The sequence below is a fragment of the Homo sapiens genome, chromosome 3 (assembly GCF_000001405.40).
Source record: "Homo sapiens chromosome 3, GRCh38.p14 Primary Assembly".
Classification (NCBI taxonomy): Eukaryota; Metazoa; Chordata; class Mammalia; order Primates; family Hominidae; genus Homo; species Homo sapiens.
The window spans coordinates 177368176-177391072 of NC_000003.12; the positions used below are offsets into that span (position 1 = coordinate 177368176).

The 22897-nt window shown below is 39.6% G+C and overlaps 1 annotated feature.

Moving 5' to 3' along the window:
• Nucleotides 10092-10271: an enhancer, noted in NCBI's record as "active region_20845". NCBI's record gives its function as "activates an Ori minimal core promoter by ATAC-STARR-seq in GM12878 lymphoblastoid cells {active_cell/tissue: GM12878}" and the evidence as "EXISTENCE:reporter gene assay evidence [ECO:0000049][PMID:35858748]".

Below are 22897 nucleotides of genomic sequence, written 5' to 3' on the forward strand. Positions count from 1 at the left end.
AGTTTTCGAGCTATTGCAGGGGCACTTCACATATTTAGCTCTGTATTTCCACTTTTTTTTTTTTTTTTTAGATGGAGTCTCACTCTGTTGCCCAGGCTGGAGTGAAGTGGCATGATCTCTGCTCACTGCAGCCTCCGCCTTCCGGGTTTATGTGATTCTGCCTTCTCAGCCTCCTGAGTAGCTAGGCTATAGGCATGCACCACCACACCCGGTTAATTTTTTTGTAATTTTAATAGAGATGGAGTTTCACCATGTTGGCCAGGCTAGTCTGGAACTCCTGATCTCAGGCGATCTGCCCACCTCAGCCTCCCAAAGTGCTGGAATTACAGGCATGAGCTACCGCGCCTGGCCTGTATTTCCACTTCTTTTTGTTTGTCTGTTTGTTTGTTTGTTTGTTTTGAGACAAAGTCTCACTCTTGTCCCCCAGGCTGGAGTGCGATGGTGCTATCTCGGCTCACTGCAACCTCCGCCTCCCGGGTTCAAGTGATTCACCTGCCTTGGCCTCTCTGAGTAGCTGGGATTACAGGTTCCTGCCACCAGGCCCAGCTAATTTTTGTATTTTTAGTAGAGATAGGGTTTCCCCATGTTGGCCAGGCTGGTCCAGAACTTCTGACCTCAGATGATCCACCAGCCTTGGCCTCCCAAAGTGTTGGGATTACGGGCGTGAGCCACTGTGCCCGGTATTTCCACTTCTTAACTCAACTTCTGCACTTAGTAGGCATTATGATTAGTGAGTATAATTTTAGTATTTATTGATGCAATCAAAGTTATTTTTTTAAAAACAAAAGGGTAGAGCATTAGGCTCCACTTTTTTTTTTTTTTTTTTTTTTTGAGACAGAGTCTTGCTGTTGTTGCCCAGGCTAGAGTGCAGTGGCACAATCTTGGCTCACTGCACCCTCCACCTCCTGAGTTCAAGCAATTCTCCTGCCTCAGCCTCCCAAGTAGCTGGGATTACAGGCGCCCACCACCAGGCCCAGCTAATTTTTTTGTATTTTTAGTAGAGACGGGGTTTCACCATGTTGGCCAGGCTAGTCTTGAACTCCTGACCTCGTGATCTGTTCACCTCAGCCTCCCAAAGTGCTGAGATTACAGGCGTGAGCCACCGTGCCCCGCCTAGGCTCCATTTGTAAGACAAACAACGACAACAACAACAACAAAAACAACCCACCGTGGGCCAGGCTCGGTGGCTCACGCCTGTAATCCCAGCACTTTGGTAGGCTGAGGCGGGTGGATCACGAGTCAGGAGATCGAGACCGTCCTGGCTAACATGGTGAAACCCCATCTCTACTAAAAATACAAAAAATTAGCCAGGCATGGTGGCGGGCGCCTGTAGTCCCAGCTACTCGGGAGGCTGAGGTGGGAGAATGGCATGAACCCAGGAGGCAGAGCTTGCAGTGAGCCGAGATTGCGCCACTGCACTCCAGCCTGGGCGACAGAGTGAGACTCCGACTCAAAAAAAAAAACAAAACAAAAACAAAAACAAAACCCACCAAACAAACCCCCAAAACAAAAAAACAAAAAAACCAACCCATGACAGAGGATGAAAGATAAAGGAGAGCAGTTCCTACCAAGTTTCAAGCCTGGCTGCTAATTTCTCCATATGCATGACAGTCAATCAATCATCAATCAATCAGGAAACAACCCAGGTGCATTATTAAGTGGCTTCACTTTTCAGGTCAGCTGTGCTGGGTTGGCTGCATACAAACATGATTTTAAATTTCTTATTTCCACAGAGAAATTCAAAGACCTACAGTTTATGTATTCAGAATCCTCATGATGTAGACACACTACTCAAAATACATTGTAGAGATATTAAGAAATACAAGTCACAAGACCAATACAAAATATTAGATGTTCTCCCCCAAATTCTTTAGCTTGGGATTTGTTTTTGTTTGCCACGTAGCTTTACTATTGCAGAACAGTTTTGTGATGTGCCTCTTCTTCTAGGACGTGGATTTGTTAAGAATCTGCCGCAGTAAGAATATAGGCAGCTATATAAACTGTCCAAGTGAGAACTCCCTTGGTCCAAAAGATTGTCAGCTGTTTTAATTGAATCCATTTATTAGCCTGTCTCATCAGCACATGCTCCTAAGATTGTGTACAAGAATATGAATACATATCCAGGGCTAGACAATTCATGATTTTGTTATTAAAAGAAAGTCACTGGTAGAATTCCATCCATAAATATTTGACTAGAATTACAGAGGGACTGGCAGGCTGCATTCATTCAAATTGGCTTTACTGGTCAACTTTTCAGTTGAAGCCTGTGAGACATTTGCCAAAAAATGAGTGAAAAATCAAGCTCTATCCCAAAGTGTAACTTGGAAGTATCCTAACTATTTGTAGGGCAGGTCTTTAGCTGGTAACCCGACCTGGTCAATTCCTTTCTAAAATAGCCCCTGCATCTGTCTCATTTTCTTCATTACTTCTATTACCAGCTGATCCAAGCCTTTATATCTCACCAAGCAGTTACTGCAACAGTTGCCAACTGGTCCCTGTGCTTCCAGGCTCTCCCAACTTCAATTCAAACTCTGTCAAGGGGACGTTTTTTTAGATCACCACTCCCCCTTGTTCATTTCTTTGTTTAAAAATCTAAGTGCAAATTCTGGTATATTGTGATTAACGCTTAAGAATGCCTGTCTTTGAGAGGAAGGTGTTATAATATTAATGAACAGTGCTAAATACACTGTACGTATCTATAATTTAATCTTTGAATGTATGTTACTGGATTAGCTCCCTCCTCCTTCTGTGTGATGGCATCATGCATGGAGTCAATCAAATCCTTGTGATGTTTTGCATGGACTTTGGCAACATGTAAATAATGTGTAAAGCAAGTTTTTATGATGAAGGAATCAAATTTATTGAATTTTATTATTGAAAGTTGAAACTTAACATGTATGGACAAAAAACAATAAAAGAATATACTCTTTTCATGGACAACAACAACAACAAAACTACGTGCCTCGATATTGTTTACTGAATCAAGTAGAGATTTTATTTTGAAGCAAGATTATTTATTAGCATAACTAAGACCATATGCCTTGATTAAAAGTAACATAAAAAGTAGAGAGACTAGGTTCTTTCTAGGAAATGTCAAGGAAGAAAGGCATTAAAGAACTGTGAGAAATGAAAAAGACTGTAGTTCAAACCAGGGTCATCCAGGGCCTGGTGCTTATATGACTGTGGGAAGGCCTTTTTAAAAAAAAAATTAGAAAGTACATACATACAAAATTAGATGTAGGTCTTGGAAGGAATCAGGGCTTAGGCTTTATTAGCTTAGTAGTAAATCTACCTCTGGGTCAAACAAACATGGCCTAATAACTGAGTTTATTTGTTTTGAATATTCATATTTGGATCAAAGTGATACAATCATGTGGTATCAACTCAAATTGTGCAGAAAAGTTTATAACAAGATTCTCTGGTCCCCCACCCTCCTCATCCTTAGTTCCAGCCCCAGAGACAACCTATTTTAGCTTTATCTTTCCTTTGGTGTTTATCACAAAAGGTTTAGTAATATATGCTCATAATTTTTTTATGATTAATCAAATTTAAATAGTACCTATTGACTCATTGCTATGGCATATGAGGATTTATCTTATTTTATGCCACCTCCTCTCAATGTTTGGTAGTAATTATTATTGCTTTTATTATTGTTTAGTAGCTTAGTCTAGTAACTAGCTTTAATTTTAGTTTTGTGTAATTTAGAAATTGCTCCATGATCTAATTCCACTGTCATTCAATGTGTAGCATTTCTGCTGGTTTCTTTTGTTGCTTCCCTTGCACACTAGATTCATAGTGCCCCTCTCTTCCAGCCCCACCCCCTTTGCCTATTGAAGTCCTTTCCATCCTTCAAAGCCCAGATCAATTCTTACCTCATCCATAAATCTCAGCTGTTCCAATAGACTTTGTTATCTCTCTTTGAATGCTTCTCACTTGACTTCTGCAACACGCAATTTAGCACTTAATTATAAAGCTTATTGTTTGTTTTTGAGCCCAGCCGCCTCCCCCTCCCTGGAGCCAGTCACTATATCTGTTGCAAGGCTGGCTCTCAATAAGTGTTTATTGAACTGAATCATTCTGTTCTCTGTTTCAGATTTGTGAGTCTTACCTGCCTCACTAGATTATAAATGCCACATATTCTTGCATTTTCCCATAGTGTAAAACATAGAGTAGGTACTCAATAATAAAAATTGTTGAATAATTCTGATCTTTTGCTTCATCCACATTATCTTGTAGCATTTCTCCTGCATTTACTGGAAGGTAGGAGAGGGTAAGTGAAAGCATACTATTTAGTTTTAACTCTGGGCCATATTTTTAAAAATATATTTTATCTACCTTTTCTTCGTGAGCGTAATTCTTTTTCCTCATTCACTCACTGAGTTCCCAAGAAGGTTGTTAAATATGGCTTAAAAATTATCCTTCAAGGCAGTTTTTGTGTGCAGAAAAGATTACTGAGTTTTTTCGCTTTAAAAATTAATAATCAATTAATTAATGTTACAAATCCACACATGTAGTTCTTTTTAAGCTTTTAAGTTCAGTTTATAAATCTTATTTTTCTGTTTATAAATCGAGCAAATTTTAACAATCATTTTTAAAGCAGCCTTTGACTAATATTTGGTCCTTTTCACAAACTTAAATAAACAGCCTGGAACACTTTAAATTTCATTTATGATTTAAATGTGCTTGATTTTCCTTTTATAGACTTTAGTTGCTTGCTTTAGCTAACAGACCTTTTCTAAGTATTTAAATAACTGTTGTAAATCTAACAAATCAAATTCAGCTATGGGAACACTAAAATCTCTTAAATCTTCCAATATTATATCATTAAAATTGTGTAAATCTAAACTCTAAATCAATAACTCAATCATATATTTTAAGGTGGAATTACAGGGCTGAACTGTTACATGAAGAGGCCAAAGTCTCATGTGACTTTTTAAATTCCAAATATTCACATATCCCTTAATAACAAAATTATAAAGATTACAGGTTTTTTTTTTTATTAAGCATTTATCAACTCAATTTCCAAAATTTATGGGAATTAAAGGATGCTTATCTGGCTGGTCATGATAGCACATGCCTGTAATCCCAGCACTTTGGGAGGCCGAGATGGGAGGATTGCTTGAGGCCAGGAGTTTGAGACCAGCCTGGTCAACACAGTGAGACCGTGTCTCTATAAAAATGTCAAAAAAATTTTTTTAAAAAGATGCTTATCTATTATGAAGCAAATGTATTACCCTGATGAATTTTGAGGATTGCCCTCAGTCTTAGTCAGTTCCAGCTGCTATAACAAATTGCCATAGACTGGGTGTGTTAAATAACAGAAACTTTTCTCACAGTTCTGGAGCTGGAAATCTAAGATCATGGCACCAGCATAGTAAGGGTCTTGGCAAAGGTCGTCTTCCTGGTTTACAGACGACAGTGTTTTCATTGTACCCTCACTTGGTGGAGAAAGAGATCATTTCTCTAATGTCTCTTATAAAGTCACCAATCCCATTCATAATCTAATTACCTACCTAAGGCCCCACCTTTAAAATATCATCACATTGGAGATTTAGGCCTCAACATATGAATTTTGGAGGGACACAAAATACTTAGTTTGCATCACCTTTCTACTTGATTATGGGAGTTGCCTTCTTGGCTTGTTGAAGGCACTTAATGCCTGGAGAAGATGGCCTGGGTATTAGTAGAGTGTCGTGTAGAACTAAAATGTTCTGGCAGGCTTCTTTTCATAGTTGCTGGGTAAATGGCCTCCATTTGGGGTGATCCGATGTCCACTAGGTTCGACTGAAGCTTTTCCTAGTTTTGTCTGTCAGGGAAGTCTGCTACTTAACTGGCTTTTAGATATGCAATCTGCAATATCTAATTGTACCAAGTTAAGGCAAGGGCTCAGGAAGCAGCCATGCTGGACTGGATTTTTCATTTTTTTGGCTCTTAAGATACGTAAATTGTAAGATCACAAATCTTAAGATCTGAACCTTAAATTGTAGATCTTTGCATCCAACTCTTATAATCTTTGAACTGGATAGAATTAGGCATTCTTTTAATATGTTTCTTGTCTAAAAAAAGCCACAAGTTTTACACATTAAAATATTATCCAGTTGAATTAGGAATGTCTCTTGGCTTTGACTGGCACAGCAGTCACAGTGTCTGAGCACGTTCTATTACTAGATGTGAACTGGGCATAGGTTTATGAAATAAAATCTAGAAATGGGCACTGTACAAACCAATGATTATTACTTGCTCTGATTCACCCGTGCTGCAGTGGGGAACAGAAAACTAACAGCAGAGCAGGATGCCGCCCCAGCTAAGCCTGTTATAACTATAGAAAGTCTACAAAAGGACAGAGGCAGGCTTCCTCTGGGACTTCATCTAGAGGTCAGGAAAGAGGCTTCTATCTTACAGGGTAATTTTCATAGTATGGGGTTCCTGTCTGCCTTGTTTAGGGTAATATCCTCAATGCCCAGAACAATGCATTGCAAGCCATTAATAAAAATATTCTGAATGGATGGATTGATGGATGGATGGCAGGCTGTACCAGGCAGGCCCTCTCCTGTGCATGTAAAGGACATGTGTAGAGGAGATTGTTTATATAGCTACCATTTGACATGGAGCTAGAACCCAGTAAACTGCAAAATTCACGAGTGGAGCAGAAGCAGCTGGTTTACTCAGAAATACCTGAGATGTTTTTATAAACACTCAAGGTAATACAACAACAACGGCAACAACAAAGTAAAAACCCCAGAGCCTTGCTGCCATGGGCAAAGAGGCTTTGTTTTTGAGACGAAGTCTAGCTCTTATCCCCCAGGCTGGAGTGCAATGGCGCGATCTTGGCTCACTGCAACCTCCACCTCCCAGGTTCAAGCGATTCTCCTGCCTCAGCCTCCTGAGTGGCTGGGATTACAGGCATGTGCCACCACGCTCGGCTAATTTTTGTATTTTAAGTAGAGACAGAGTTTCACCATGTTGGCCAGGCTGGTCTCGAACTCCTGTCCTCAGGTGATCCTCCTGCCTCAACCCCCCAAAGTGCTGGGATTACAGGAGTGAGCCACCGCGTCCGGCCACAAAGAGGCTTGAATGATGTGATGAGTATGATATGTGAATCACAATTTTAAAAAGCGATCATGGTTCAGTCATTTTCTGATATTTTCTTATGGGCATGGACGAGTGTAACCTATGCCTGTGACACCAATGAGGACAGACAGGCAAGCAGGATGCCCTGTTCTTGCTTGTGATAACTGAAATAGCAAGTTTCCAGTCTGGTTTTCTCCCTAGGCTCTCTTAAATGCCATCATAAGTATCACTGCAGACAAGGAGCAAACTGGGTATAGAGATTGTCTCCAACACAGCAGATGGATTCCTGTTTTCTTACTATATTCACTGCTGTATCATTATGGGGGAAAGCAGTTGAACAAGGAGCAGACATACGAAATAAAGTCTTTGTTACCTATAGGCAAATAAGTACATTAATTTTGTGAGATGTTTCGAGAAGAGGAATGATAGGAATCACATCCTAGTGTGTGTGGGTATGGGAGACAGATTAAAAGGCATTCCTAGGAGGAGCAAAGATTTCAGGAGCTACTAAATGATAAAATGTGAGATCCTAATCAGAAAGATGGTACTTTATGTATAGGATTGAGCCTGAGAAAAATTATGGAAGGGTTGTATGAGTGATTTGGAGGGGGAGGGGATTGGAAAGTACAGAGGGGACTCCTGGGGAACGAGAGAACTTGCTTTTGTTCAGAAGCATTAGTCTTTAATGTTGAGGGCATTTGAAAAGACCTAGAATGTAAATCATATTAAAAATCAAATCAGCAGGTTTGTTTTTTTTTTTTTTTTTTTTTTTTTTTTGAGACGGAGTCTCGCTCTGTCGCCCAGGCTGGAGTGCAGTGGCGCATTCTCGGCTGACTGCAAGCTCCGCCTCCCGGGTTCATGCCATTCTTCTGCCTCAGCCTCCCGAGTAGCTGGGACTACAGGCGCCCGCCACCACGCCTGGCTAATTTTTTTTTTTTTTGGATTTTTAGTAGAGACGAGGTTTCACCAATCACAGGATGGTCTCAATCTCCTGACCTTGTGATCCACCCGCCTCAGCCTCCCAAAGTGCTGGGATTACAGGCGTGAGCCATCACACCCAGCCGTATTTTTTTTTTTTTTTTGAGATGGAGTCTTGCTCTGTCACCCAGGCTGAAGTGCACTGGCACAATCTCAGCTCACTGCAACCTCCACCTCCCAGGTTCAGGCGATTCTCCTGCCTCAGCCTCCTGAGTGGCTGGGACTACAGGCGTACGCCACCACGCCCAGCTAATTTTTGTATTTTTAGTAGAGACGGTGTTTCACCATGTTGCCCAGGCTGGTCTCAAACTCCTGACCTTTAAGTGTTCTACCCACCTCGGCCCCCCAAAGGGCTGGAATTACAGGCATGAACCACTACGCCCGGCCAAGTATTTTTCTTTTTTTTCTTTGAGCATCAGTTGCATGCACGGCACTGAAACATTCTGTGTTTTTCCCCTTTTGTTTCATGTTCATGGTTGCTTCTCCTGAACGTGCACAGATGAGAAAAGAGGAGTTAGACTATGTCTGCATATCTTTGGCCATTTTTTATCAAGGGGGCACAGATAGTCAAAGACTGAGCCAGCCTTGAAAAACAATGCATTTGTGGACTCTCCTCTATCACTATTTTTATTCCTATAAACGAAAACTTCAGTACTATGATACAGTAGCTATAACGTTCCCTACAGCTCTTCACAATATGGCAATTACTGAAATGGTTTCTTTCTCATTATGCAGCCCCAAAGCAGTGAGATCATGAGGTAGGCAGCAAGAGAAAACAATATTTAATTTGTCCTAAAGGACAGGTGCCATGGGAATAAAAATATTCTCCTTTCCCCTGAGGTTTAAATACGTGGACACAACCAAAAAATGCAGGAGTGATACTGCACACCAAACAAGCCCGAACGTAATCGCCTAATTAAATCATTTTCATCTAATGAATATAAGCAACAAAATAAACTGGCATAGCAGCGAGTCAGGGAGTGATTCCAATGGAAGCAACTGCAGAGGTGGTGTGGCCGTGCCGGGACTTGCAGAGCTTTTCTGCTTATTTTCAAGTGACGCCCGTGTTGGCACCTTAGCTCCAGGTGAGTGGGTCTGAGAAGGCGGCTCTGTCTGGCAGTCTCCCAAACAGGGTTGGACTTCCTATGCACCTTCACCTTTTGCCTGGGGAAAGCTGGGTTTTACCCGAGAATGCTGGGGAACATAGGCTGGGCTAAGTGTGTTCCCTAGGGCTATATAGGGGTTTCCCCCGCTGGCCTGGAGTTTGTCAATAATATTTACAAAGACAAATCCCAGGTTCCTTGATCTTGATAACGGTAGATGGAAAAAGTTTATGGTGTTATTCTGTGTTGCTTTAACATGAGATCAACAATGAGTTGCCTTCCGTCTCAAGATGATAAGGGATATTTTGGAAACATTTTGAGAACAATTTTTTAGCCTTTACCATCTTGTTTGACTTCTCCCTTTAAAACTATCTTCTTGGCCTGGTGCAGTGGCTCATGCTTGTAATCCCAGCACTTTGGGAGGCCGAGGCGGGTGGATCATTTGAGGTCAGGAGTTCAAAACCAGCCTGGCCAACATGGTGAAACCCCGTCTCTACTAAAAATACAAAAATTAGCCAGGTGTGGCGGTGAGTGATTGTAATCCCAGCTACTAGGGAGGTGGAGGAAGAAGAATCCCTTGAGCCTGGGAGGCGGAGGTTATAGTGAGCAGAGATTGCTCCACTGCACTCCAGCCTGGGAGACAGAGTGAGACACCGTCTCAAAAACAAAAAACATAAAACATCTTCTTTGCCTCTTGCCCCACCTATAGAAAAAAAAGGAAAAAACAAACAAAAAACTAAAATAAGTTGACCACGAGGACAACTTAGTGCATTTTACAATGGAAGAAACAGTGATTTTGGAACTATTCTGACATGTATTGACTGACAACTGGATTCTACCACTCACTGGTTCTGTGACCATGGACAAGTTCAGATTCCTCGTCTGTAAAATGGGAATGATAAAGCAGATTCAATGAGACAGTGTATGAAACGTGTAGATAGAGCTGTTCTTCAAGGAAGATCGGTTTCCTTGGCTGGGAGGTGCATACTCTATTTACGGACGGACATCCCTTACTTTCTAGATGCTTCTGTGACAGGGGATTCCCATCTTGTCACGTAGGCAGGAAAGTCCCTTCTTACTATGTGGATTCTAGGGGTGTGAGAAGATTTCTTTTCTCACCACTGTGGCAGTGAGGGTTAGGGGAGTCCCTTTTCACCCCTTTATTTATTTTTTATTTTTTGTTTTTCTTTTGAGACAGAATTTCGCTCTTGTTGCCCAGGCTATAGTGCAATGGCAAGATCTCGGCTCACTGCAACCTCTGCCTCCCGGGTTCAAGTGATTCTCGTGCCTCAGCATCCTGAGTAGCTGGGATTACAGGTGCCCGCCACCATGCCTGGCTAATTTTTGTATTTTTAGTAGAGATGGGGTTTCATCGTGTTGGTTGGCCAGGATGGTCTCGAACTCCTGACCCCAAGTGATCCACCCACCTCTGCCTCTCAAAGTGCTGGGATTACAGGTGTGAGCCATTGCGCCCGGCTTTAATACTGATGGAAAAGAGGGGAAAGAAAGGGTGGAAAAAGTCACTTCTGGGAAATGTAGTGCAGAGCTTGATGGGAGTGGAGGCAGACTCCGTTCTTGCCATGTGTTTTGTGCTTCTGAAGGGGAGAGGGCTGGTCTATTTCTAGTGCATATTTCACTATAGGCTGACTCCTCCCTGTCTTGTGCTGTTTCCCACTTACCCCCCACACATCTTTTAAAATCGGTAATATCAACACTTCCCTGGGTTCTTGCTCCTGTACCTCTCCTCTTTTTAGCCATTAATCTTCATTTGTGTTTGCAGAATATGCCAGTAATGTGGAAACAATCTTATTTCTAGCTAAGGGAGATTTGAGAAACTTTGCTTCGGCTCTCATATATAACACACAGGAAAGTCACAACCCTCACCCTTGTGGAGTCTGCTGCCTAGTGGACAGAAGTGAATATATGGGCACAGGTGTGAGGGAGGAGAAGCCTTGGGCCTTTGGGCAGCCAGGCGACTTACAAAAGAAGACGCAGAGTTGACAGTTGGATTTAAAGTGTTTGTGCCAGTCAGGCACAGTGGCTTACTCCTGTAATCCCAGCACTTTGGGAGGCTGAGGTGGGTGGATCACTTGAGGTCAGGAATTTGAGACCAGCCTGGCCAATGTGGTGAAACACCGTCTCTACTAAAAATACAAAAATTATCTGGGCGTGGTGGTGTGCACTTGTAGTCCCAGCTACTCAGGAGGCTGAAGCAGGAGAATCGTTTGAACCCAGGAGGTGGAGGTTGCAGTGAGCCGAGATTGCGCCATTGCACTCCAGCCTGGGCAACAGAGTAAGACTCTGTCTCAAAAAAAAAAAAAAAAAAAAAAAAAAAAGGAAGCAGTTGTTGTCAATCTTGACAGCATATAAGAAAGCTATGTGGAATCTTTTAAAATATACTATGCCAGGATCATACCTCCACAGATTCTGATTTCAGAATCAATATAGAAGGGAATCTGGGCATCAGGGTTGTATAAAGGTCATAGGTGATTTTAATGTGCGGCCATGTTTGAGAATCACTTACTGCTCTACTCTTCTTTCCCTTTCCTTTTCTCCTCTCTCCTTCCTTTTTTTTTTTTTTTAACTGTAATCTAGTGGTTCTCAACCTGAGCTATACATTAGAATTACCTGAGGAGATACAGAAAATTCAGATGCCCATGCTATGTATGCCCAGACCAATCAAATAGGAGTTTCTAAAGGTGGAACTCAATAATTCATAAATTTCTTTTCTTTTTTTTTTTTTTGGAAGCAGGGTCTCTTTCTCTCACCCAGGCTGGAGTGCAGTGGCACAATCTTGGCTCACAGCAGCCTCAGCCTCCAGGGCTCAAGGGATCCTCCTGCCTTAGCTTCCTGAGTAGCTGGGACTACAGGCATGCACCACTGTGTCCAGCTAATTTTATTTATTTTTTTGTAGAGATAAGGTCTCTCTATGTTGCCCAGGCTGGTCTTGAACTCCTGGGCTCAACTGGTCCTCCCGCCTCTGCCTCCCAAAGTACTGGGATTACAAATGTGAGTCACTGTGTCTGGCTAAACATCCATAAATTTCAAGACTGGTTCAATTGTACAGCTCAGATTGAGAGGAAGATTGGAGGAACTAGATGCTCTGTGACTGTCAGGTAGAGACCAAGTTAGCAAAGCAGACTGAGAGGTGAGATTAGCACAGAAACTGGGAGAAGAGGGGGTACTTAGGTGTTTGGTATAAATGGAGCCTTCAGTATAACGTTGATGAGAAGTAATGATAATGTTTCATTCCTGACTTTAAAGAGGATACTACCAACATTTTCTGATAATAGGTACTATGCCTAAGAAGATCACTTCTGTTCTCTTACTATGAGTTTGTATTATGTTGAATTTTATCAAATTCTATTCCTGCATTTATTAAAATGGTCATATGGTTTTCTTTTCTTTTTTTTTTTTGAGATGTAGTTTCACCCTTGTCGCTCAGGCTGGAATGCAGTGGCATGATCTCGGCTCACTGCAACCTTTGCCTCCCAGGTTCAAGTGATTCTCCTGCCTCATCCTTCTGAGTAGCTGGAATTACAGGTGCCTGCCACCTTACCTGGCTAATTTTTGTATTTTTAGTAGTGATGGGGTTTCGTCATGTTGGCCAGGCTGGTCTCGAACGCCTGACCTCAGGTAATCCATCCACCTCGGCTTCCCAAAGTGCTGGGATTACAGGCGTGAGTCACTGTGCCCAGCAATGGTTTTCTTTTTTAATCTGTTAATGCATTGAACCACATTATAGATTTTTCTGATATTAAACCATCCCTGCATTCCTGAGATAATTGCAACTTGATTATGGGATGTTATTTTTTATCTATACTATTCCAATTGGCTTTGCTAGTAATTTGTTTAAAATTTTTGCATCTTTATTTATGAACTAAAAAGGCCAAAATTTACCCCTTTTCTAATGTCTGCATGACTTTGGTATCAGTTTTATGCTGATTGTGTAAAATGATTTGGTGGCATATTTCCTAGAAGAAATTGTGTAAGACAGATGATTTTTTTCTTGAAAAATTGGGAGAATTTTTGCATGAAGCCATCTGAGATTGGCATTTCATTGTGGAAATACTTGAAGATATTGCTTTAACTTCTTTAATAGTTACAATTATATTTTTGTATACTTTGTATTTTTTATTTATATTTTATATTTATTATTTTAAATATATATTATTTATAATTATTTATTATAGATATTTATTATATAAAATATTTATAATATATTTTAAAAATGTATTTTAACATATAATATATTAATATAATAATATATAATATAATTAATATATAATACAGTAATATAATATATAATATAATAATTATATTATATATAGTAGTCTACATAATTATTATATTATTTATAATAATACTCTATATAATTATTATATTATATAATAATATTCTATATAATTATTATATTATATAATAATATTCTATATAATTATTATATTATATATAATAATAGTCTATATAACTGTATATAATATAACATTAGAAATAGATGCAGGTGTAAGAGGTTGGGAACTAGAAAAATACATCTTTCAGAGCCTGCTTTCAGCAAAAATACAAAGTATACAAAATACATAATATATAAAAAAATATAAATATAAATATATAAATATATAAAAATATATTTATATATTATATATAAAATATAAAATGCATATAAATATATTATGTAAATATAAATATTATATAATATATTTATATGTATTTTAAATATATATTTTATATATTTTTGTATCCCTTGTATTTTTGCTGAAAACAGCCTCTGAAAGATGTATTTTTCTAGTTCCCAACCGCTTACACCTGCATCTATTTCTAATGTTTGCCAGCCAAATCTCTTGCTAGCTCCATTTTTTTAAAATTAACATTTATTCTCAACATGCCGAAAAATAGCTTCTGTTGCTTTGACAAGGTTGCTAATGAATCTTCATGATGCTGACTGAACAGGATTCTTTTTTAGTTTTTTTTTCAAACTTCATGCTTTATTTTGAGACTATTTACCAACCACTTCTTTCTGAAACTTTCTACTGCCTGGTATGTTTGACAAAATTCTTTCCTGATATCCTCCTAACTCTCTGATTATATTCTAAATATCTCCTTCCTAATCCCTTTCCTCTTTCTCTCCTCATGGTGTGAATATATTGACATTTGCAGGTTTCCATTCTTACACCACTGCTCTTTTCATTCTATACAGTCTCCTCAGAAAATCTCATCTACTCTTATTTAAATTTTACCCAGGGGTACATAAAATTTTATGGAGTCTGAAGCTTATAAAATTTTGGAGCTTCTCTGTAAGAAAAATATATAAAATTAAGTACAAGTCCTCATCTTGGAAGTAAGGGGCATGAAAGTTAAACTTCATTAAAATTACAGTAAATGTCCCTCTGTCTATATTTCCCAAGTTGGAATATGTTTTTTGACCTCTTTCCTAAAGGTTCCTTTAAGATTTGTAAATGAAATTATTTATTGAACTTATCTGTCCCACAGTGGGACTTAAGATGTCCTACAGTATGGAGGTTTCAAAACATGGCTGCAAAACTATATGAAATGCCTCCTATTGAGAAGTGGGGTCTATGTCTCTCGTTTTGAGCCTGGGCTTTATGACTGCTTGATCAGTAGAATATAGTGCAAGTAATATGGTGTCAGGTTCAAGCCTCGAGAAGCTGATGGCTTCCATTTGCTGTGTTTTGGGATGTTTGCTTTTGGACCCCGGACACCATGCTGTGAAAAAGTCAGAGAGCCACATGGAGAACCCACATATAGGTGTTGGAGCAGACAGCCTGGCAGAGGTCCCAGCAGGCGGCCAGCACCAACTTGCCAGCTGTGTGCGAGTGAGCTGTCTTGGAACTGGAGCATCCAGCTTCAGGTCAAGCTGCCCTGATTGATACCACATGGAGTCGAGGTGAGATTTCCCCACTGAGCTCGGCCCAAATTGCTAATTGGTAAGATAAATGTGATTGCTATTTTAAAACCTTGAGTTTTGGGGTGGTTCGTCACGCAACACTAGATAGCTAGAACACACAGACACCTCAACTTGTTCCTTCCCCTATGTGTCTAATCATAATTAATGATGGTGTCAGTGACACTGTTACCCATACATTATGTGAGCATTTACTCTAATTTTTCCTATTCCCTCATATCTAATTAATCACTAAGTTAGGTAGTTTCAGATTTTACTTCTTACATATTTCTCCCATCTACTTCTTCTCTATCCTTTTGTTAGTAGTGCCCTCTGTATCTTTTAATGTTTTGCAGGAGACTCGTAATGTATTTTCCCGTATTTGTCTTTGCCCTGCTCAAAATTGACTTCCTGCACTACCACAAAAATGTCCATGAAATGAATTCTAACTATGCTACAAATCTGTTCGATGAAATAGACATAAAATAATTAAAGATAGGCCGGGAGCTGTGGCTCATGCCTGTAATGCCAGCACTTTGGGAGGCCGAGGCGGGTGGATCACCTGAGGTCAGGAGTTCGAGACCAGCCTGGCCAACATGGTGAAACCCCGTCTCTACTAAAAATAAAAAAAAAATTAACCAGGTGTGGTGATGGGTGCCTGTAATCCCAGCTACTCGGGATGCTGAGGCAGGAGAATTGCTGACCCTGGGAGGCGGAGGCTGCAGTGAGCCAAGATCATACCACTGCACTCCAGCCTGAGCGACAGAGCGAGACTCTGTCTCAAAAAAAAAGTTAAAGATATAATGCAAGTAACACATTTCTCAGCTGAAGAAAGACCTGAGTTTGCCCATTTGAATATTGCAACACTAACACGTAGATACATTCTTAAACAGTTTCCTATAGGCATCCTAACCTTCATCTAGCTCTCATCCCTGCCCCACTAAACAACCACAATAACAATATTTTGCCTACAAAGGATTAAAATGCAAACTGCCTTGGATTTCCAATAGGTCAGTGGTAAAAAATAATAAAAAAACTCAATAGAATAATATCTTTGGGATTTGAGGGGGTACAGTTAGTCAACATTTTTTTTTTAATTTGTTTTGTTTTGAGATAAGGTCTCACTGTTACCTAGGCTGAAGTGCAGTGTCACAATCTTGGCTCTCTGAAGCCTCAAATTCCATGCTCAGGTGATCCTCCCACCTTAGCTTCCTGAATAGCTAGGACTACAGGTGTGCACCACCATGCCTGGAGGAGCCAACATTTTAATACTCAGCCAAGTTGTCATTATGAGAAAATAAAAATGCGAAAGTCCAAAAAAGAATGTCACCCACCATGCCTCCTAGAAATAAAGATGATTTTCGGTATTATTTGTAGTCTATTTTGTCCTATCTGCAGTGGAACTTTCTATGCCTAGTTATGTCATGAGATTGGATAATACTGTGTAGCTACTATACTATTTCAATGATAGATATAGTGCCATTAGCTAATACTTTTAAAATGTCGAATAGTTCAGCAACATTATAGAATAAATTAACTTCTGAAGGGATGCCCGAGGGGACGAAGTGACATTTTAAAATCTTGTTTCAACGAAAAAAATTATTTTCAACTTTCACCCATCTAATTTAACAAACAATTTTTGCAGCGTAATGTGGAAATGTCTGAAGTAATTTCTTTCTGTCATGCTAATGTTTGCTTGAATTTGAATATCTTATAGCCAAAATTCATACTCTTGATATTGAGAAGATACAAATATTTATGAGAATGCTGTACAGTATTTTCCTTAAAAAATTCTCATTATTCCTTGCTATTTCTTTAGGTCAGAAAAAAGTTAGATTAGATTCTGAAACTGTTTTAAAGTACAACATCCAAGAATTGGCTTCAGTCTGACATCAATCAGCACTTCTTTTTGGTTTCAGGGTGCTTTGGGTCTGAATTACAGCAAATGATTCCCTTAAATCAATAGGAGGCAGGTGTAGAGATTTAGAAAGTAATAACATTAAGTCAACATTGAATAAAAAATTTAATACTTGGAATACAGAATAACAGATATGTATGGTACCAATGACTTTTTCAGAATCACCTTTTAATTACAGGAGTATCTGGGTATTACATGTTCAGTGCTTGCAAATAATTGTAGTGCTAAAATGATTCATATTTAGGTTGAGATTTTAGCCTTCTCACTTTTTTCACAGCTTGTTACCACAGAAGAGATTATGTTCGAGTGTGTATATGTGTTCATGAATGACATAATTGTAACTCAAATTCCACGTCAAAATGGTTATTTTATCCAGAAGTAATTTTTCAGGTAACCTGGTAATAAGTTTAAAGGCAAGAGCAAATGAAGGCAGGTACTTTTACTTCTCATAGTTAAAGGGTGTTATATGTAAAGGGGTCATAGAGTAGACCTTACCTTTCACCCTTATTTTCTGTTTTAAAATTCTTCCTCTTCATAAGTCTAGGAGAAAGAGAAAAAAAGAACTAGCTGTTTCTTACTGCACATCCTTGAAAACACATGGCGGTTGCAAAAGATATTGTATGGTTTCCTAAGGACTCAAGTTACTAGACTTCAGTAAGTTGGTTTATGTAGAACTTAGTGTTTGTTCTCCCTTGAATGCATGAGAACACATGAGAAGGGCTCAAGGAACTGTGCCCAGTGTAAAAGGATCCTATTGTTATGGTGTTGGGTTGAAATGGCAGGAAGGACTAGGTCTTCAGCAGGCACAGCTCCTGAGCTAGGCACTGGCCTTATTTTTTCCTCCCTTTTAGTTCTGAGTCATAGAAAAAGAAATCTGAGCAAGGAAGAGTGAGGCAGGACAGCTCATGCAAATGAAGGAAGATCTCATCCTTAAGTTTGGTTTCAACATAATCTCAATGAATCTACAAAGACTTATGTAACCTGAGATTTCTCATGCCTGGAGCCTGTGGATCCTTAGTTCTGTGGCACCTGGAGAAAATCCCAAAGATCTAATATTATTTTGGTCATTCCCCACAGTCATCTCTTTACCATCATGTGACTGCATAAAATGTGAATGCAGAAGAGTTTCCTGGATTTGTCAGCTGTGGCTCATTTTCTGTTTCTCAACAGTTTCATCCATCATCGTTATTATTTAATTGGCTCTATTTAGGTCTTGTGCCACCTAGTTACACACTAAGTATCTTATAGTGGGGCTGCTTGAAGACTGTGAAACTTGCAAAATAGTTATATGAACCTCACTCCCTTAGCCTTTATGATGTAAACAAATAGTTTACTTAGCTGTTTGTTAATATAGCTTAGGGTTATCTATGAATGCTACTGTTTTGCCAGATTTTAAGGTTATTCTAATACCATCATCTTGGGGCTTTGGCCAAAATTACAGCCAATGACCTTGTACTAATTTATTTCTGTTAATATTGGACTTCTTGAGTCCAGAAAGTTTAAGTAACTCATTAGGAAATTTCAAAAGCTTTCACGACTACACGGTATTCTGTAAAAATATTGAATGGATGAAATAAAATAATTAGATAAAATCTCTGAGGTTGAAATTCTATTGACTTAAAGTTCATAATTATTCAGAGAAGTGTTAAGCAAATTTGTTTCATTAGGGTGTACTTTAAAAGACAGACTTTTACTTAAGTTGACTGTAGCTTAGCTCTTTTCCAAGCAGCATAGTAAATGAAACTCTGGCTGAGAAAATGTAGTGCAATTGTAGGGTTTGGACATCCAGTTATCGGGGTAGGAGGAAAACTGTACTTTCTATATGCCATTCTATAGCCCATTACAACTTGTTTTCCTTGCATAAAAAGGTGACTTTTTTTTTTTTTTTTTTTTAGACGGAGTCTCACTCTGTCACCCAGGCTGGAGTGCAGTGGCGCAATCTCGGCTCCCTGCAACCTCTGCCTCCCGGGTTCAGGTGATTCTCCTGCCTCAGCCTCCCGAGTAGATGGGACTACAGGCGTGCGCCACCATGCCCAGCTAATTTTTGTGTTTTTAGTAGAGATGGGGTTTTACCATGTTGGTTGGCCAGGATGGTCTCAATCTCTTGGCCTCGTGATCCACCTGCCTCAGCCTCCCAAAGTGCTGGGGTTACAGGTGTAAGCCACCGTGCCCGGCCAAAAAGGTGACTTTTAAAAAATGGTACTAGAGGGTGCTAGGAGTATCCTTGACTTACATCAAGGCGAAGAAGGGCAATAGCATCTGTTCTCATCTATGGAGTGCATACTCTGTTCCTGGTAGTAGGAGATTTACAAACATCTTTAAAACACCAATGTGGGTATAATCGGCCCCATTTTACAGGTAAGAAAGAGGATCCTTGCAAAGCGTTGGGGAAGAGGTAGAATACAGAAATCCTAATTGACTGAGGAAGAAAATGAATGCATTAATTGGATGTGATGAGCTGGAAGTGAGTAGATCAAATTTCCTGCCTCAAAAAATAGGGGCTTGACAAAGACACAAAGATGGGTTTTTTTGGGGAAAAAAAGATTTTTTTTTTTGCACACCAGTAGTTGAGATTTGTGAAACTAGTACCCACTACTTATCTACCTCTTTCTTTTTTTATAGACAGAGTCTTGCTCTGTTGTCCAGATTGGAGTGCAGTGGCATGAGCATAGCTCACTACAGCCTTGAACTCCTGGTCTCAAGCAATCCTCACACCTCAGCCTCACAAAGCACTGGGATTACATGTGTGAGCCACTGTGCCTGGCCTCACCTGTGTACCCTTATGTTGTCTATGTACCTTTATGTTGTCTATGTGGCGAGCATATTGGTATTCATACTCAATATTCATTGAGTATCTACCATGTGCACAGCATTTTGTTAAAGTAGGGGCTCCCATCAGTTGTTCATGATGAAATAATTTAGAGACACTCACTTTCTGCCTCGTCTGGGAACTCTTATTCATGCTTTAAGAAGCAGCTCATACTTTAACTTCTCTTTGAAGTCCTACCTGAACACATCAATCAGACATTAATCAACCTCTGTTGTAAATTTCTGTCTGTAGTACATCTATCATAGACTAATCCCATGGACCATATTTATTAGTTAATCTGCTTGTCCCTTTCTGCTAGACTGTGAGACTATGAATTCCATGCCATCAAAGGCTGGCTCCTTGTCCCTCATCCATCATATACGCCAGTGATTATGTCAGCCTGGCTCTTAGTAGCAGTTCATGAAGCTTACTCAGTACATGAATTACTGTATACCAGCAGTTCTAGGTAAAGCAGAAAGTTCTTCTCCTTTAAAGTTGCTCAAAATTTTAAGAGGTATGACTAACTGAGCTCCTGCACACTTCATGTATATTATCTAATTTAACCTTACTATAATCTACTTAGCTTGGTATTATTTCACTGGCCCCTTCATTTATAAAGCTGCCCAGAGGTATTAAGTAGCAAGCCCAATATCACTGAGCTAGTAAGTAGTGGAACAGGAAATAAAATTTAGTCTGCCTGTCTCTGAAGCTGTTTATTCCACCGAGTTAACACTGAGTTCCATATGTAAGGATGCCAGCATCTTACTCTGTCATTATCTATTTGATTCTTTGCGTTTCTTTTTTTTTCTTTTTCTTTTTTTTTTTTTATTATACTTTAAGTTTTAGGGTACATGTGCACATTGTGCAGGTTAGTTACATATGTATACATGTGCCATGCTGGTGCGCTGCACCCACTAACTCGTCATCTAGCATTAGGTATATCTCCCAATGCTATCCCTCCCCCCTGCCCCCACCCCACCACAGACCCCAGAGTGTGATATTCCCCTTCCTGTGTCCATGTGATCTCATTGTTAAATTCCCACCTATGAGTGAGAATATGCGGTGTTTGGTTTTTTGTTCTTGCGATAGTTTACTGAGAATGATGATTTCCAATTTCATCCATGTCCCTACAAAGGACGTGAACTCATCATTTTTTATGGCTGCATAGTATTCCATGGCGTATATGTGCCACATTTTCTTAATCCAGTCTATCATTGTTGGACATTTGGGTTGGTTCCAAGTCTTTGCTATTGTGAATAATGCCGCAATAAACATACGTGTGCATGTGTCTTTATAGCAGCATGATTTATAGTCATTTGGGTATATACCCAGTAATGGGATGGCTGGGTCAAATGGTATTTCTAGTTCTAGATCCCTGAGGAATCGCCACACTGACTTCCACAATGGTTGAACTAGTTTACAGTCCCACCAACAGTGTAAAAGTGTTCCTATTTCTCCACATCCTCTCCAGCACCTGTTGTTTCCTGACTTTTTAATGATTGCCATTCTAAATGGTGTGAGATGATATCTCATAGTGGTTTTGATTTGCATTTCTCTGATGGCCAGTGATGATGAGCATTTTTTCATGTGTTTTTTGGCTGCATAAATGTCTTCTTTTGAGAAGTGTCTGTTCATGTCCTTTGCCCACTTTTTGATGGGGTTGTTTGTTTTTTTCTTGTAAATTTGTTTGAGTTCATTGTAGATTCTGGATATTAGCCCTTTGTCAGATGAGTAGGTTGCGAAAATTTTCTCCCATTTTGTAGGTTGCCTGTTCACTCTGATGGTAGTTTCTTTTGCTGTGCAGAAGCTCTTTAGTTGAATTAGATCCCATTTGTCAATTTTGGCTTTTGTTGCCATTGCTTTTGGTGTTTTGGACATAAAGTCCTTGCCCATGCCTATGTCCTGAATGGTAATGCCTAGGTTATCTTCTAGGGTTTTTATGGTTTCAGGTCTAATGTTTAAATCTTTAATCCATCTTGAATTGATTTTTGTATAAGGTGTAAGGAAGGGATCCAGTTTCAGCTTTCTACATATGGCTAGCCAGTTTTCCCAGCACCATTTATTAAATAGGGAATCCTTTCCCCATTGCTTGTTTTTCTCAGGTTTGTCAAAGATCAGATAGTTGTAGATATGTGGCGTTATTTCTGAGGGCTCTGTTCTGTTCCATTGATCTATATCTCTGTTTTGGTACCAGTACCATGCTGTTTTGGTTACTGTAGCCTTGTAGTATAGTTTGAAGTCAGGTAGTGTGATGCCTCCAGCTTTGTTCTTTTGGCTTAGGATTGACTTGGCGATGCGGGCTCTTTTTTGGTTCCATATGAACTTTAAAGTAGTTTTTTCCAATTCTGTGAAGAAAGTCATTGGTAGCTTGATGGGGATGGCATTGAATCTGTAAATTACCTTGGGCAGTATGGCCATTTTCACGATATTGATTCTTCCTACCCATGAGCATGGAATGTTCTTCCATTTGTTTGTATCCTCTTTTATTTCCTTGAGCAGTGGTTTGTAGTTCTCCTTGAAGAGGTCCTTCACATCCCTTGTAAGTTGGATTCCTAGGTATTTTATTCTCTTTGAAGCAATTGTGAATGGGAGTTCACTCATGATTTGGCTCTCTGTTTGTATGTTGTTGGTGTATAAGAATGCTTGTGATTTTTGTACGTTGATTTTGTATCCTGAGACTTTGCTGAAGTTGCTTATCAGCTTAAGGAGATTTTGGGCTGAGACGATGGGGTTTTCTAGATATACAATCATGTCGTCTGCAAACAGGGACAATTTGACTTCCTCTTTTCCTAATTGAATGCCCTTTATTTCCTTCTCCTGCCTAATTGCCCTGGCCAGAACTTCCAACACTATGTTGAATAGGAGTGGTGAGAGAGGGCATCCCTGTCTTGTGCCAGTTTTCAAAGGGAATGCTTCCAGTTTTTGCCCATTCAGTATGATATTGGCTGTGGGTTTGTCATACATAGCTCTTATTATTTTGAAATACGTCCCATCAATACCTAATTTATTGAGAGTTTTTAGCATGAAGGGTTGTTGAATTTTGTCAAAGGCTTTTTCTGCATCTATTGAGATAATCATGTGGTTTTTGTCTTTGGCTCTGTTTATATGCTGGATTA